The sequence below is a fragment of the Homo sapiens genome, chromosome 9 (assembly GCF_000001405.40).
Source record: "Homo sapiens chromosome 9, GRCh38.p14 Primary Assembly".
NCBI classification, from domain to species: domain Eukaryota; kingdom Metazoa; phylum Chordata; class Mammalia; order Primates; family Hominidae; genus Homo; species Homo sapiens.
In genome coordinates this window covers 62,122,803-62,137,599 of record NC_000009.12, presented here as the reverse complement: position 1 = coordinate 62,137,599, position 14,797 = coordinate 62,122,803, and the positions used below count along the sequence as shown (strand labels likewise).

General features: G+C 44.8%; 1 long non-coding RNA gene across 1 annotated transcript, besides 1 other annotated feature; it reads left to right on the top strand.

The window, feature by feature from the left end:
* Window positions 2,114-2,652: an enhancer, noted in NCBI's record as "OCT4-NANOG hESC enhancer chr9:67520664-67521202 (GRCh37/hg19 assembly coordinates)". NCBI's record gives its function as "activates a minimal SCP1, AML or CMV promoter by ChIP-STARR-seq in primed H9 embryonic stem cells {active_cell/tissue: H9 hESC(primed)}" and the evidence as "EXISTENCE:reporter gene assay evidence [ECO:0000049][PMID:30033119]".
* On the top strand, window positions 8,387-11,973 carry LOC105379439 (uncharacterized). Its single transcript, XR_950650.2, has 5 exons — window positions 8,387-8,475; window positions 9,467-9,763; window positions 10,927-11,041; window positions 11,393-11,600; window positions 11,821-11,973. It is a non-coding gene; the product is annotated as an uncharacterized LOC105379439 (long non-coding RNA).
* The last annotated feature ends 2,824 nt before the right edge of the window (window positions 11,974-14,797 follow it).

Sequence of the window (14,797 nt, the reverse complement as noted above, 5' to 3'; positions counted from 1 at the left end):
TGCCTTGTGGAAATGATTACAGGAATTTGAGGGGTGCATTGAAGTGGGACATGCCAATGCCTATCAGAAACCCCCCTTCTAGGATTAGGAGGTACTTGGAGCCAGCAAGAGGATATCCTGGTGTGCTCGCTTGAGATGGCCACTGGGTTCACGTAATGAGTGAATATTGTGAGGCTGCAGCAGCCCAGAGATGGGCTGAATTACATTTATTCCTTTGTACCTTCTGAGGCACAAAATGCTCGTAAAGATTCTTCTTTTTGTTAACAAGAGAGACACAGACTATAGATGGCTATGGAGCAGAGAAGCTGGGAGGAAGGCCCTGTAAGCCGAATGGATGACATTAGTCCTGGGGGGTGGACGAAGGGGTATAGACAGGAACGAGACACTTGCTCGAGACTTGGCTTTGCTTACCAAGAAACAGATGCAAATGATCAGAGACAACGGAACAGATTATTCTGCACCAATTTGAATGAACAAGTCATATTTTCTTAGTTCAGGAAACACTTTTGTCCTAACAGTAATGGTTTGATAGAGAATTGAAATGGACAATTAAAACATTGGTCATCGGCTGGGTGCAGTGGCTCATGCCTATAATCCTGGTACTTTGGGAGGCCAAAGCAGGCGGATCACCTGAGGTCGGGAGTTCGAGACCAGCCTGACCAACATGGAGAAACCCCGTCTCTACGAAAAATACAAAATTAGGGCTGGGCACGGTGGCTCAAGCCTGTAATCCCAGCATTTTGGGAGGCAGAGGCGGGAGGATCACGAGGTCAAGAGATCGAAACCATCCTGGCTAACACAGTGAAACCCCGTCTCTACCAAAAATACAAAAAAATTAGCCAGGCGTGGTGGCGGGCACCTGAAGTCCCAGCTACTCCGGACGTTGAGGCAGGAGAATGGCATGAACCCGGGAGGTGGAGCTTGCAGTGAGCCGAGATCGAGCCACTCTGCACTTCAGCCTGGGCAACAGAGTGAGACTCTATCTCAAAAAAAAAAAAAAAAAAATTAGCTAGATGTGGTGGCACATGCTTGTAATCCCAGCTACTCCGGAGGCTGAGGCAGGAGAATTGCTTGAACCTGGGAGGCAGATGTTGCAGTGAGCCAAGATCGTGCCGTTGCACTCCAGCCTGGGTAACAAGAACAAAACTCCATCTCAAAAAAAAGTAAAATAAAATAAAATAAAAAATTTGGTCATCTAAAATGGGGATAAAAATAGGCATGAAGGGCTGCCTTATATGTTTTCTTGAGTGTGTGCTCACATTCAAAATGAGGGCGCCAAGCGGGTGGTCCCACTAGATAGATTCCTCCACTTTTCTGAGAGTCCTAAGGAAGAGGTAGGGCAAATGTTGTGATGAGTATACAATTCTTCTTACAAAGGAGTTGTGATTACAGCTTTCTTTCTTCCCCACATCACCTCAAATTTCTTTTACCTACCTGCTATGGTGGTCTCGGGCCCAGGGCTGCAAAATACCAGAAGGAGGGATAATTCCTAAGTAAAAGCTGTAACTGTGCTTCCTAAGGACCAGATGGGGTAGATTGTGTCTTTACCCCATCTGGCAAGACTGAGGTTGACAGGAAATGCAGATGTATTGCTTAGTGGTTGACACGCCCCCTAGTTCTGTACCTCATCCTATATGAATGGGAGTCCACTGAGTGGAAGGCACTCGCTAAACTTGTATTGCTGCCAGGAATCTAGACCAGCACAATGGCTGAACCTAATGTGCTTTCTAAATGTGGAAAAGCTTAGAAACTCATAACTGGTGAGAAGAAGAAACACTAGTAGATTATAACAATGAATGTCTGGGTTACACAATGAGGAAAATTCAATATTATATTAATACTTTAAGAGGGGCTGAAGGCAAGAGATGATATTGTCTCTTAGCTCAGCGATTCCAGATGCTGGAAAGAGTGAAGCCATATATTGCTGAAAGCACTCCTGCTTGTGGAACTTGAGAGAATTGAACAGAAGCTGCGAACGTGAGTGATGTCACCCTGGGAGACATTTTGGTTACACCATATGATGATGGGCTGTACTAATTATTAATGACTGAATGAGATTCTAGTAATATGTCAATATTTGTTACTCTTATTTTTCAGATTATTTTACCATATTGAAATATGGTCAAACACTGGCATAATCGGTAAAATTATAATACTGGTAATGACAGTCAAATATACTGGGAAATTGAGTTAAAAGCTTTTTATTCGTACTCTACAGTAGCTCCTCCACATTTTAGACATATAAAAGAACCATAGTCAAAAGCCACAGGGTCACCTGTTGTGTAATGAAGAATTAGACTGGCCTTTGTCCCTGGCCCCTGGAAGACTCTCAAACTCTTGGGAATTCCTGAGTAATAGGAGTGTCATTGTTATTCATGAGCTCCTCGGATCACACCTGAATTTGTGCTTAAGAAAAAGGTAAGCTGTGCCAAAAAGAGCAGCCAAGTGATTGGAGAGTCGGGCTTTGAGACACCAGATGTTAAGTTTGACCTCCAATCTCTGAGGGGTGGGGCTAGAGATTCAGTTAAAATATGTGGCCAATGATTAAGTCAATCCTGCCTTTGTGACACAGTCTCAGTAACAACTGGGGACGCCGAAGCTCAGGGAAGCTTCCTGGCTGGTAAACATGTGGATATCCTGAGAGGATGACAGGTTCAGATTCCGCACGGAGGGGCATGGAGTCTCTGTGTGTGGACCCTCCCAGACTTTGCCAAATGTGTTTCTTCCTTGGCAGGTCCCAATTTTTATTACTTATAATAAAACTAAGCATAAGTATTTCCTGAGTCCTTTGAGTTGTTCTAGCAAATTATCAAACTCGAAAGGGTCATGGTGATGCCCACATTTCTAGCCAGTTGTTCAGCAGTGCAAGAGGACTGGGGACACCAGAAGTATGGCTGGTGTCTGAAGGAAGGTCAGTCCCTTAAATCTGTGGCACCTGTAGCTAACTCCAGGTGGTAAGCATCAGAACTGTGTTGCAGTGTTCGAACTACCATTTGACATAGTTTTCCCATTATGTTACAACTTCTCATTGCAATCCCTGTAAGCTCCTTGAGGGCAGGGATTATATTTTACACTTCTTTGCCTTGAATGTAGTAAAAATTTAACAAGTGGATTAATAGTAGGTTAAAAGGCATTTTCCAAGAAAAAGACTTGTTTTGCTAATTATTTAGTTATAGAATGCTCTTATTTGTTCTAAAGACAAGGAATAGCCAAACTGAGGCCCGGGAGGTAAGGAGATGGGCTTGGAAGGTTGCTAGGCCTCTAGTTCTGGCAACCCAGTGTAAAATCCCAGGTCTAAAATGCGCTAGCTGAAGGACCTTGGGCAGGTTATTGCATCTTTTTACACCTCAGGTTGCTCATTTACAAAATGGAATAAATACTAATTTTAGGCCATTTTGTGGTGACTATGAAATGCAAGTTCTTAACATAATGCCTAGTTTTATGCTGAATAAGGATTAGCTCATACTAATGGTTAAAAGAAAAAATTGACTCAGGGAAATATGAAGATTGATATTTTTTTAAATGGGGGTTGGTGGTTTGGAAACCAATAAGCACTGTTAGTCTTTCTATTTCTTTTTAATTGAATAAGCAGTAAGCCAAAACAACTATGACTTGCTTGATGTTTTAAAATGCTTCTATTATGTAGACCAAACTTAAAACTGTAAGAAAAGCTGTTTGAGACACCATCCTAAAGAATCACACAATTAAAATTCTAGTTTCTCAGATGCTAATGTTTTTTATTATTTTATTATTTTAACCCATCAAGTCTATGAAGAAAGACAAGAAAACTGTAAAACAAATCGAACAGCAAATTAAAAAGAAAGTGGTGAAAATTTACAGTTGAGAAAACAGTGCCCACTCCTGACATATACTCCAGAATAGCTTTATTCTCTCTTCCAATATTTGCATCTTAATTTGTAAACAAAATTATTCATGCAGCTGTCCATTGACATTCCAGAACTTTAAAGGTAGGATGCAAATTAGGATCCAAATTAGGATGTAAAGTCCGTGAACCACTCAAACAAGTTGCAGTGAGATTACACTCCTACCTGGTGATTATTCCTGATTCATCAGAAGAGGCAGTATCTGTTCATTTCAAAACTAACTTGACACTGATTCCTTCCAGGTGCTTAAAAAGTCAGTTTCCAAAGCAATTAAACATGAACAAAGTGCATCAGAACTTCATCTCAGTAATTCATCATAGTAACATAAATTTTTTTCATGCAAAATTATAAAATGGGGATTGGAAATTGGATGCCAAATATTGTTTGAGAAGTCATTTTTGATAGCCACATGAGCAGATGGCTGCTAACAGTTGCAAGCAGGGAACCAGGAGCCAGGCAGTCTGCGTTTAAGTCCAGCTCTGCTGCGTACTAGCCCGGCTCCCTCTGTGTCTGTCTTTCAGTGCCTCAGTGTTCTCACCTGTAAATCAGAATCAAAACAGGACCTCCCGCACAGGGCTGTGGTGAGGATTAAATGGATTATTCCATGTCATCAGTATAATGCATGGCACCAAGGAGGCCTCAGGAGATGTTTTGATCATGATCCTGCATATTTATCTCTAAAAGATGAAGACAACTGTTTCAGAAATTACCATGAGATAGACTATTACATTTTCAAATTCCTAAGGTGAAGAATTGAATAGAAAGGCTAGAAAAGTACAGTGAAGCCTTTGTGGACAGAGAGGGTTTACTTCCTCAAGCATTTGTAGGCCCCCAGTCCTGCTGTCATTCGTTTTTTCCCACAAGCAGAAATGTAATTGCCTATCTCCAGTGATAAATAAAGGGTGCTGAGCACCAACCCACTGTGCAGTCTGAGGACTTTCTTCAATGTCACAGGGCTGAGCTTCTAGGATGTCCATAGGAACGAGGCACACACAGGGCTGGAGGGTGTGATGGCTGACTCCCTGTTTTCATGAGCTGCAGGGAGGGTGGGATCTGGACCTGGGCCTCAGACCCAGCGTCACCCTCTCTGCTGCTTTTGGGGCCCAGAGTGCATCAGAGAGAAGACAAAGTCCTGTCCCTCCCTGAGCGATGTGGATACACCATCCAGAACTTTGTAGTTTTTTGTTGTTTTTGTTTGTTTTGTTTATTTTTTTGAGACAAAGTCTCACTCTGTCACCCAGGCTGGAGAGCAGTGGCACGATCTTGGCTCACTGCAACCGCTGCTTCCTAGGTTCAAGCAATTATCCTGCCTCCATCTCTGGAGTAGTTTGGATTACAGGCACCCACCACCATGCCTAGCTAATTTTTTCTATTTTTAGTAGAAATGGGGTTTTATCATGTTGGCCAGACTGGTCTCGATCTCCTGACCTCAAGTGATCTGCCTGCCTCAGCCTCCCAAAGTGCTGGGATTACAGGCGTGAGCTACCGCGCTCAGCCCTCTCAAGAACTTTTGTAATAAGAATGGGTTGTGCATGAAAATAAGCTCCAGTTGTTTGTATCAGAGACTGACATTCACCTAACATATAATCGTTATACATGTGGATGTAAAAGTTATACTGATTATACTATTCACAATAGCCAAAAGGTGGAAACAACCCAAACTTATCCACTGATGAATAAGTGAACAAAGTGTGGTACATTGGCAAAATGAAATATTCTTCAGTCATTTAAAAAGAATGAAGTGTTGGGCCAGGTGCAGTGGCTCACACCTGTATTCCCAGCACATTGGGAAGCCGAGGTGGCTGGACCACCTAAGGTCAGGCGTTCCAGACCAGCCAGGCCAACATGGCCATACGTCGTCTGTACCAAAAATACAAAAAAAAATTAGCTGGGCGCAGTGGTGTGTACCTGTATTCCCAGCTACTAGGGAGGCTGAGGCAGGAGGATCGCTTGAACCTGGGAGGTGGAAGTTGCAGTGAGCTGAGATCACGCCACTGCACTCCAGCCTGGGCAACAAAGTAAGACTCTGTCTCCAAAATAATAATAATAATAATAATAATAAATAAAAACAAAAGAATGAAGTACTGATACAATGTAGATGAACCTCAGAAACATGATGTTTTATGAAAAAGCCAGGTACTGTATGGCCCCTTTACATGAAATATGCAGAATAGGTAAATGCATAGAGACAAGGGGCAGGCTAGTGGTTTCCCAAGGCTGAGGAAGAGGCAAAGGGAGGGATGGCTTTATGTGTATGGAGTTTCCTTGTAAGCTGATAACCATGTTTTGGAACTAAATAGAGGTAATGGTTGCCCAGCACCATGAATGTAGTAAATGCCACTGAACTGTACATGTTAAAATGGTTAATTTTATGTTGGGTAAATTTTACTTTGATTTTTTTAAAAACTGATTTTTATTTATTATTATTATTATTACTATTATTATTTTTTATTTATTTATTTTATTTTATTTTTTTGAGACGGTGTCTGGATCTGTCGCCCAGGCTGGAGTGCAGTGGTGCAATCTCAGCTCACTGCAAGCTCCGCCTCCTGGGTTCACGCCATTCTCCTGCCTCAGCCTCCCAAGTAGCTGGGACTACAGGCGCCCGCCACCACGCCTGGCTAATTTTTTTGGTATTTTTAGTAGAGACGGGATTTCATCGTGTTAGCCAGGATGGTCTCGATTTCCTGACCTCGTGATTCGCTCGCCTCGGCCTCCCAAAGTGCTGGGATTACAGGCGTGAGCCACCATGCCCGGCCTAAAAACTGATTTTTAAAAAATCAGGCTCGGTCTGTAAGAATGAGTTAATTCTTCCTGTGAGTGTCAAACGTCCCCTATTAGAGATAACAGGAGTCCTGCAGCTGCTTGGTGAGAAGTTAGACCCGCAGCTCTTCACATTCTTGTGCAGTTTTCAGAGGTCAGAAACATCTTTATCGCACCAAGAAGCCCCCTCACCACCACCACGAAAAATAAATATAAATGCCAGATAAAAAACAAAAAGCAGCTACTTGCCGGTGTCAGAGAGTGATCACAAAGGCCAGGAATGGAAGGGCCAAGAATCCAGGGAGAAGGGAAATGCGTTGAATTGTGTCAGCGTTCTCCCTGCACGTATTTGCTGCTTGTTCAGTATTGAAGGTCAGAGAGACCGAGCAGAATGCTTAGAAACTGTTGACAGTTTCCTAGGTCTGGGGAGATAAAAGTGGAGTTCAGGGCTATAGAGGCAGTGAGCGAAGGCTGGAGGCGCTCAGATCCTCCCGCGGGGAAGGGGTTCTGAGCTGCATCCTAAGGCACTCACCGTTGTCAGTCCGACGAAACTGCTGGAGAGAAGGTGAGGACAAGAGTTCTGAGGGTATTAACTGTGGCCCAAGAAAACTCACCAAGATCCTGGGGAAATCAGAACCTCCAAACAAGGAGGGCAGGCCCCGGGCCTCTGGTGTTGCAGTGGTGGGGGTCCCATGTGGGTACAAGGACAGCTGAACGGACCCGCTCTGTAGCCTCTCGGGCACAGGGTATGGTGAAATACACACCTCCCCATGGCACAGTGAACCCTGAGAGCACTATTTCTAGTCCCTAACGTCCACTCACCGCTGCATGGTTTGGGCTTTCACCTGACCACCTGTCCCTACAGCCTGCCTTTGCTCTCTGCCTTCTCCACCCTCTCCCCATAGCATTCCTTTCCCTGGCTTCCTTCCTCTGGGTTCAGGAGTCGCTGAAAGGCCTGGAATCCCACAAAGGGTCAATATCGTCGTGCCCACTTCAGGCAGGAAGAGATCCATGTTCGCTCCCCACATGATGATAGAAACAAAATCTGTCGGCTGGGCACGGTGGCTCACCCCTGTAATCCCAGCACTTTGGGAGGCCGAGGCGAGCGGATCACGAGATCAGGAGATCGAGACCATCCTGGCTAACATGGTGAAACCCCGTCTCTACTAAAAATTACAAAAAATTAGCCGGGCGTGGTGGCGGGCACCTGTAGTCCCAGCTACTCAGGAGGCTGAGGCAGGAGAATGGCCTGAACCCGGGAGGCGGAGCTTACAGTGAGCCGAGATCGCGCCACTGCACTCCAGCCTGGGAGACAGAGGGAGACTCCCTCCCAAAAAGGAAAAAAAAAGAAAGTCTGTCAGGAGGAGAATTCTGTCCCCTCTGAATGAGGGGAGCCTGGCAGGACCCTCTGCTGAACAGATGCCGAGGGCTTTCTAACCGCAGGCGTCTGTAGCAGGGTGGGAGCGTGTAGGTGCTTCGGGAGCACCCGAAGCAGCTACAAAGGCCCTGGCTGGTGGCTGGTGAGAGAATCCTACAACATCCAGGTGTCCTGAGCAAGGGTGTGCAGGCTGCGGGGAGGGAGCTATGAGTGTTGCTGAGGCCAACCTGGAATGTCTTCTTTGTGAGCACAGACTCCCACCTGGCGGTCCCCCAGGTGCCTGGCTGTCTGTTGGGAAGCCGTTCTCTGCCCCTCGCCCCACCCCCACCTCACCAGTTAGGAAACCTGGCAGGAATCTCCCCACGGATCCCTTCACACCTGCTTGGAAGGTTGGGGAGCAGGATGCTGACCCCTTTGTGTGGTTCCAGGCTATAATAGCTAATTAACCTGGTAAATAACAATTAATCTAGTGAACCTAAATTTGAATACCCTTTATATGAGTTTTCTTTTAATGTGTAGTATTTATCAAAAGAAATAATCTTCTTTAAATTGAACTGTGTGGGGTATCTGATATTTGTGCATACACACACACAAACACACACACACACATATATTGCATGTTCCATGGTACAGCATAGTACAGGAAACCAGGTGAATGGAGGGTCTGCTCTCAGCTGATGACTGGCAGACCAGCCACTGAGGAAGTGAGCAGGGCTGCCGGAGAGCCTGGGAAAGCACTGCATATGGGGAGGGGCGGGGAGGGAGAGGGCAAGGGAGGCTTTAGGGACAGGTGGCAGGAGATGGGGTGGGTGATGTGCGTGGAGTTTCCATCCACCTCTACCTATGAGCAAGAGCAGCCAGGAGAATGCCACACATGCCCCATGTCCTGGGCCTTGTGTGAATAACTCTGGATTCTGCTTCTCTGTAGGTTTTTTTTTCTCAGTTGAGTTTCTCACTAATTCTCTACTGTATTAGTCCATTTTCACACTGCTAATAAAGACATACCTGAGACTGGGCAATTTACAAAAGAAAGAGGTTTAATGGACTTATAGTTACAAGTGGCTGAGGAGGCCTTACAATCAGGGTGGAAGGCAAGGAGAAGCAAGTCATGTCTTACATGGATGGCAGCAGGCAGAGAGAGAGAGAGTTTATGGAAGGAAAATCCTCCTTATAAAGTCATCAGATCTCATGAAACTTTTTCACAATCACAAGAACAGCATGGGAAAGACCTGCCCCCATGATTCAATTACCTCCCACTGTGTGCCTCCCGCAACATGTGGGAATTCAAAATAAGATTTGGGTGGGACGAAGCCAAACCATATCATCTACCCCCACAGAAAAAGATGCATGAGGAAGGGAATCTCAGGAACAAGGAATTGATTCCAGTGTGAAACTTCCTCCTGGATGCACATGCAAAATCTTTAGTTTTGTGTTTCTTCAGGACACAGCTTGGGATCATCTGTGATGTCCTCCTTTCCCCGGCAAAGCGGATAATGCTGCCATGGGGCCAGGCCTGCCCTCATGCAGCTAGGGGTCACATCTGCCTGCACACAGCATGGGAGAGTGTGGAGGAGGAGGGACAGGACCCTATTTCCAGACAATTGTCTAACAGGAAGAGGATCATAAAATCCTAAGATTGGCTAATCAACCTCCCTGTTCTACAGATGAAGAAACTCACACTCCCAGGACAAGTGACCTCTCAGGACCACACAGAAAGAGAGTTGATGTAATAATTGTAGTAAGTGTTAGAACTAGCCAACTCTGATTATGGGCTGACTCATTTCATAGCACCTTATATAAATTATGCCTTTTAAATCTAGAAATTGGGTTCTGCTGTCATTATTCAGAATTTTAAAATGACAAAACTGAAGCCAAGTGAGATGAAATAATTTTCCTAATTTTCTGAACTCAGAAGTGGCAGAGCTGAGCGTTCCACCCAGGCAGCCTCGGCACTTTCAGCTTAGGGACCCAGCCATGTATTCAGTGCACCAGCACGCAAAGCCTGCCATTCCTGAAGGCTGTTTTTGAAAATGTGCAGGTTACTTCCTTGAGACCCACATTTGGCAGACCTGACCCTTCTCACCATAGTGTAATCAATGTTCAGCCCCCTTCTCCAATTTAAAGTGACAATTAGTAGGCTCTGTGAAGAATGAGGCATTTTCAGATGTTTTTGGAGAGAGGGGTCGTGATGCACTTATCTGGAGATTACTTGTCTAGGAAACTAACTACTGAAGTGTATGCAAATGAAACTGTTGCAGACACAACAAAACAGTATACAGTCAACAGCTAGACTATACTCAGCAAAGCACAATAAAAATCCAGTACACTTAGATTTGCCTAAACTTTAAATGAGTTTTCTTTGAATACCTAGTATTTATCCAAGGGAATTGTTTTTAAACTTAAATGTGTATACGTATCTTGTGTTTGTGTGCACACACACACAAACACCCCCCCACACACACATATTCCATGTTCCATAGTATAGTATAGGAAACAAGGGAACACATCAGCTTTTGCCATCTTCATGACAAGCCAGGAATTAAAACTAAGTAAATTAAATACTAATGAAATATAATCCTTTAATTTCTAAGCAAACATTACTTTGACTTTAATTTAATCAACAAGATTATTTAACGTTCATTGAAAAATCCATATTCCTGCATTTATACTCATGAAGCTTAACCAATTACAGAAGAATACAATACAAATAGTTTCTAAATGGACATAGAATTTAAATTCAGATTTTAATGAACTAACTTCTGGACATTGTAGAGTAGATAATGTAGTCAGAATTTTGCAAACGTTGGAGTGTATACTTAGTAATGGAGTTGATTAATAAATGTAAATGCAGTAAGATTGAGAATGGAATAGATTAAAACTTTATTTTATTCTTCTTGCCAGCTCTGTGGCTACATGGGTGTGAACCAGAACGAGGCAGAAGGGATCTATTTTTCTATTTAGTGCCAATGAGCCCCCATGGATCTATGCAGGGGCAGGGTGCTTTGTGCAGATGAAGGTAAAATCCCTCCCTGAGAGCAGGTCTGTGCTCAGGGGTGTTGGCTTCTCCATTCACAAGCGTCAGGTGGAGCTTGGGTGGAAACCACCTTGATTCTTCAGGGCAGCTGCTCTGGTTTGTTCCAGTTTTAGAGTTAGATTGTTTCCTTTAAGAGCCCTCTACCTCACAGTAACAGACTCTGGTATGGATTTGCATTAGTTGTTTATTTTGTTTTGTTTTTGCCCAAGTAAGAAATTGCACATTTTTCCTTGCACTCTAAAGTCAAAAAGCCGAAGTGGGAATCATTATAAATGCAACATCTGAGTTTCTGTTATAGCTCCTTGTTCTTGGAAATGTTTCATTTGCATCAAGGTCGTGCCAGACATGGTAATGAAGGCCCTGAACAGAGGGAGAACCATCAGGGACTGCTGTGTGAGCAAAGCGTGGACTTTCATCCTGAAAAATGAGTGCATCCGTAACAACATCCTCAAACATAGACGGCTCTGATTAGCGCTCCAGGAGCCCTCTCTCTAAAAACATCTGAAAATGCCTCCTTCTTCCCGGGGCTCACACGAATGGGGTAAGTCTCACGAAGGAGGGGCCTTGGTGCTCAGGAGGTGAAGCGTGCGCCGTTCTCCAGGTGTGCACGTGGGTCCGAGGAATCAGGAGCTCAGGCCGCACAGCCCCGCTGCTGCCGATCACTGCTCACAGCCCCTGAGCCCTGCTCAGAGGCAGCAGCATTTCCTACAAGGGGCAAGGTGCGGCAGTCACCAGGACACCCTGGCTCTTATTTGCAACAGCTGCTGCATTACCTAATAGCCACCCATGGCTTCACGAGGAGGGATGCTCACAGCCCCCTGCAGAGCAGCCGCCTTGTTCCAGCGCCACAGGGAAGCGTCTGCCTTGACTTCCACCCACGCAGTGTCCGCTTCCACACAATCACCCTGAACGGCAAAGGCTAAACACTTTGGTAATCCAAAACAGTAAACCCCAATTGTGCTACTCATAGTCCAATTTCTAAACTTTTACACTACAGCTGTTGAAAAATTCTAATGTTTATTTCACTGCCAGAATCAGCAGGGTAATGGATGTTTCAGCAATAAACATCATGAGCAACACATGAAATCTAATTAGCATCATTCCAATTTGCAACAGTTAAATAAATTATTACTCTGGGCTTTCTCCCCCCTAGATACCAATGCTTAGATTCCTGTAAAAATGTCAACTCTAGAAAAATCCTCTTTCCACTTCCAATTTTTTCTAATTCAATCTGTTTTCTAGTATTTCTTTAGAAACAAACTAATGAAATTCTCTATCACCCAGCTGTATTTACAACAGAGTAAGCTTTGTGACACCCTATACATGGAGTTTGCACAGCAGCAGTATCCATGGGAAAAAATAGTGGGACTGTGTCCCAGTGATCACAGACGAAGGATGCCAGGACACTCTGTCAAAGGAAACTCAGACCTCCACATAGGATGCTTGACTCAGGTCCCAGGTACTATCACCATGACTGTCCCCCACAATTTTCCCAGGAGGGAGGCACGAGTAGGAGAGAACAGCCCCTGTGATGTCAGGGCCAACCTGTCTCCAGCCTCCGTTCTGCTAAGTGACTCTAGAAGTTCCTCTCCCATCTCTGGCCCAACTGACCATGTGTCGGATGTCTGGGAAAAGGGAACACAGACTTGATGATGATTCCTGGTTCCGAGCTCATGTCACTGTGCTCCCAGGCTGTTGACACAAGCAGGAGCCCTGGGTTTCTTGGATTCTAGCACATAGTTAATAACACAAACCCTGACAGCCTAGGTTTGAGCTGGGGTTGGTTAGGGGTGGGCGGTGGTAGGGGAATAACTTGGGAAAGTTATTTAACCTGCCTGGGTCTAAATTTCCTTGTCGCAAAGTAGGGAAAATAGTTGTATTTACATGGCACGTCTGTGATGTGAATTAAATGTCTGGCACCTAGAACAGTGCCTGGCCCCCAGGATTTGGTGTGTAAAGAGTCCAGGTATTGGTACGAGTCCATGTCAACTGTCTTCCCTGATCCCCAAACCCAGCTGCACCCATTAGTAACTAAAATGAGGCGGGCAAAGGGGATGAGTGGTGAGTGGCAATGATTGCTAAAGATAGGTCCAGAGACTATATTTCTTAAGACATTCTGGGTCAGGAATAATTACATATAATCCAGCCAATAATTCCAAATCTATGTATTTATTTAATAAACTTTTATTTAGGGCACGAAGGTGTCAAATTTTGTCCCAGGCACTTTACATATATTTAATCATTTAGTCTCCTCACAACCCATGAGAAATAACCATACTGTACTATCATTATCTACAAAGAAACATGAAGTAAGACCCTAGAGAGAGCCTCCAGCAAAAGGACATCTGTGGTCATCATACATTTTTCAAAAAAAGTTCAATGACAAAAAACCAGTTTTATAAAGTGTATGTTGAACTGTGATAAACTAGCAGTGCATTTAAGAGTGAAACACTGGCGTTAAAAATGAAAGCATCCTTGGAAAACAATCCAGCCCACCTTTTTGTCTCTGTTTTGGTACAATTGTGTTTTTTGTAAACTTCACAGCAAACAACAATATTTTTACCTTTGCATCCTTCTGTCCTCCCTGAAAGCTAACTCTCTAGAGGGAGAGAAAACAATATGGGGTTTGATGCAAGGCAGTGCCTAGCGCCAGGGCAGAGGGATGCACGTGCCTTATAGGAGCCCTTAGGGGCAGCGGGCGGGGCAGCAGCACAGATGCATACTTGGCGCTGTTCGGAAGGAGGGATGTTCCAGGTGCTGGGCGAAGCAGAGGAGGCGCAGCCGTGGGGCAGGGCACAGTGAGGCTGGGCATGTGGTGGCCCATGGGCACCTTGGTAAACCTGCTTGGGGGCTTCTGAGCCTCCACTTGTTGAAAAACAGAAGAAAGCCAAGGGTTAAGCCAGTAGAGGAAGGAACCACAAAGGTGTTTTTGCATGGTTAAAACAAGGAGATGGTCGAAGTATGATTTCATGGATCTGTGGTTTATCCACATGCAAAGAGAATTTTTTTCTTAGGTTCAGAACACTAAAAGAAGATAACATTGTGAACAAATCTCCCAGGGAATCCACTCGAGAGATGAGGCACACTGACCACAGATGAGTGAGGTCCTCAATTATTAAAGTCTAGTTGCTCCATTAGGATGAAAGTCTCTGTGGGAAGTAACTTCTAATTAAAGCTGGAGGTGTTCCTTTATACTAGCAGTTCTTGAGGGAAACTGGGTTGGCCATCACAGTGGAGACTAGAGAAGGCTGGGGTGGTCCCTGGATACTAGAGGGAAGTTGGGGAGAAGTGGTGGACAGTGCAGCCCTGTCACAGCACAAGCTCCTGGTCATTGGAGAATGGCTGACAGAGGAAACCCTGCCATGACCTAAGCTCTTAAAGTGTCTGTCAAACTCTTAGGTTTATTAGACTTGAAGTCCAGTAGTCAAGCTCAGTAACTCATACCGGGTCTGATAAGCTGTGATGTCACATTCCCGAGGGGAGGAGAAGTAGCTCCAAGTTCTCATGTATGGGGTCTGATAAGACACCTTGTTCTCCAAGGGAGGGGAAAATACACTCCCAGTCCTTACTAAAGCAAGGCATATGTTGTCCAAAGGACCACCAGAATGGCTTGAGAGTAGAAAAAAGAGTTTTATCAGCAATATCAGTTTGCAAACCAGGGAGAGATCATCTCTGGTGAGAACCAACAGAGCTCTTGAGAGGTGAAGCCAGCTGGACTTCCTGGGTTGCGTGGGGACT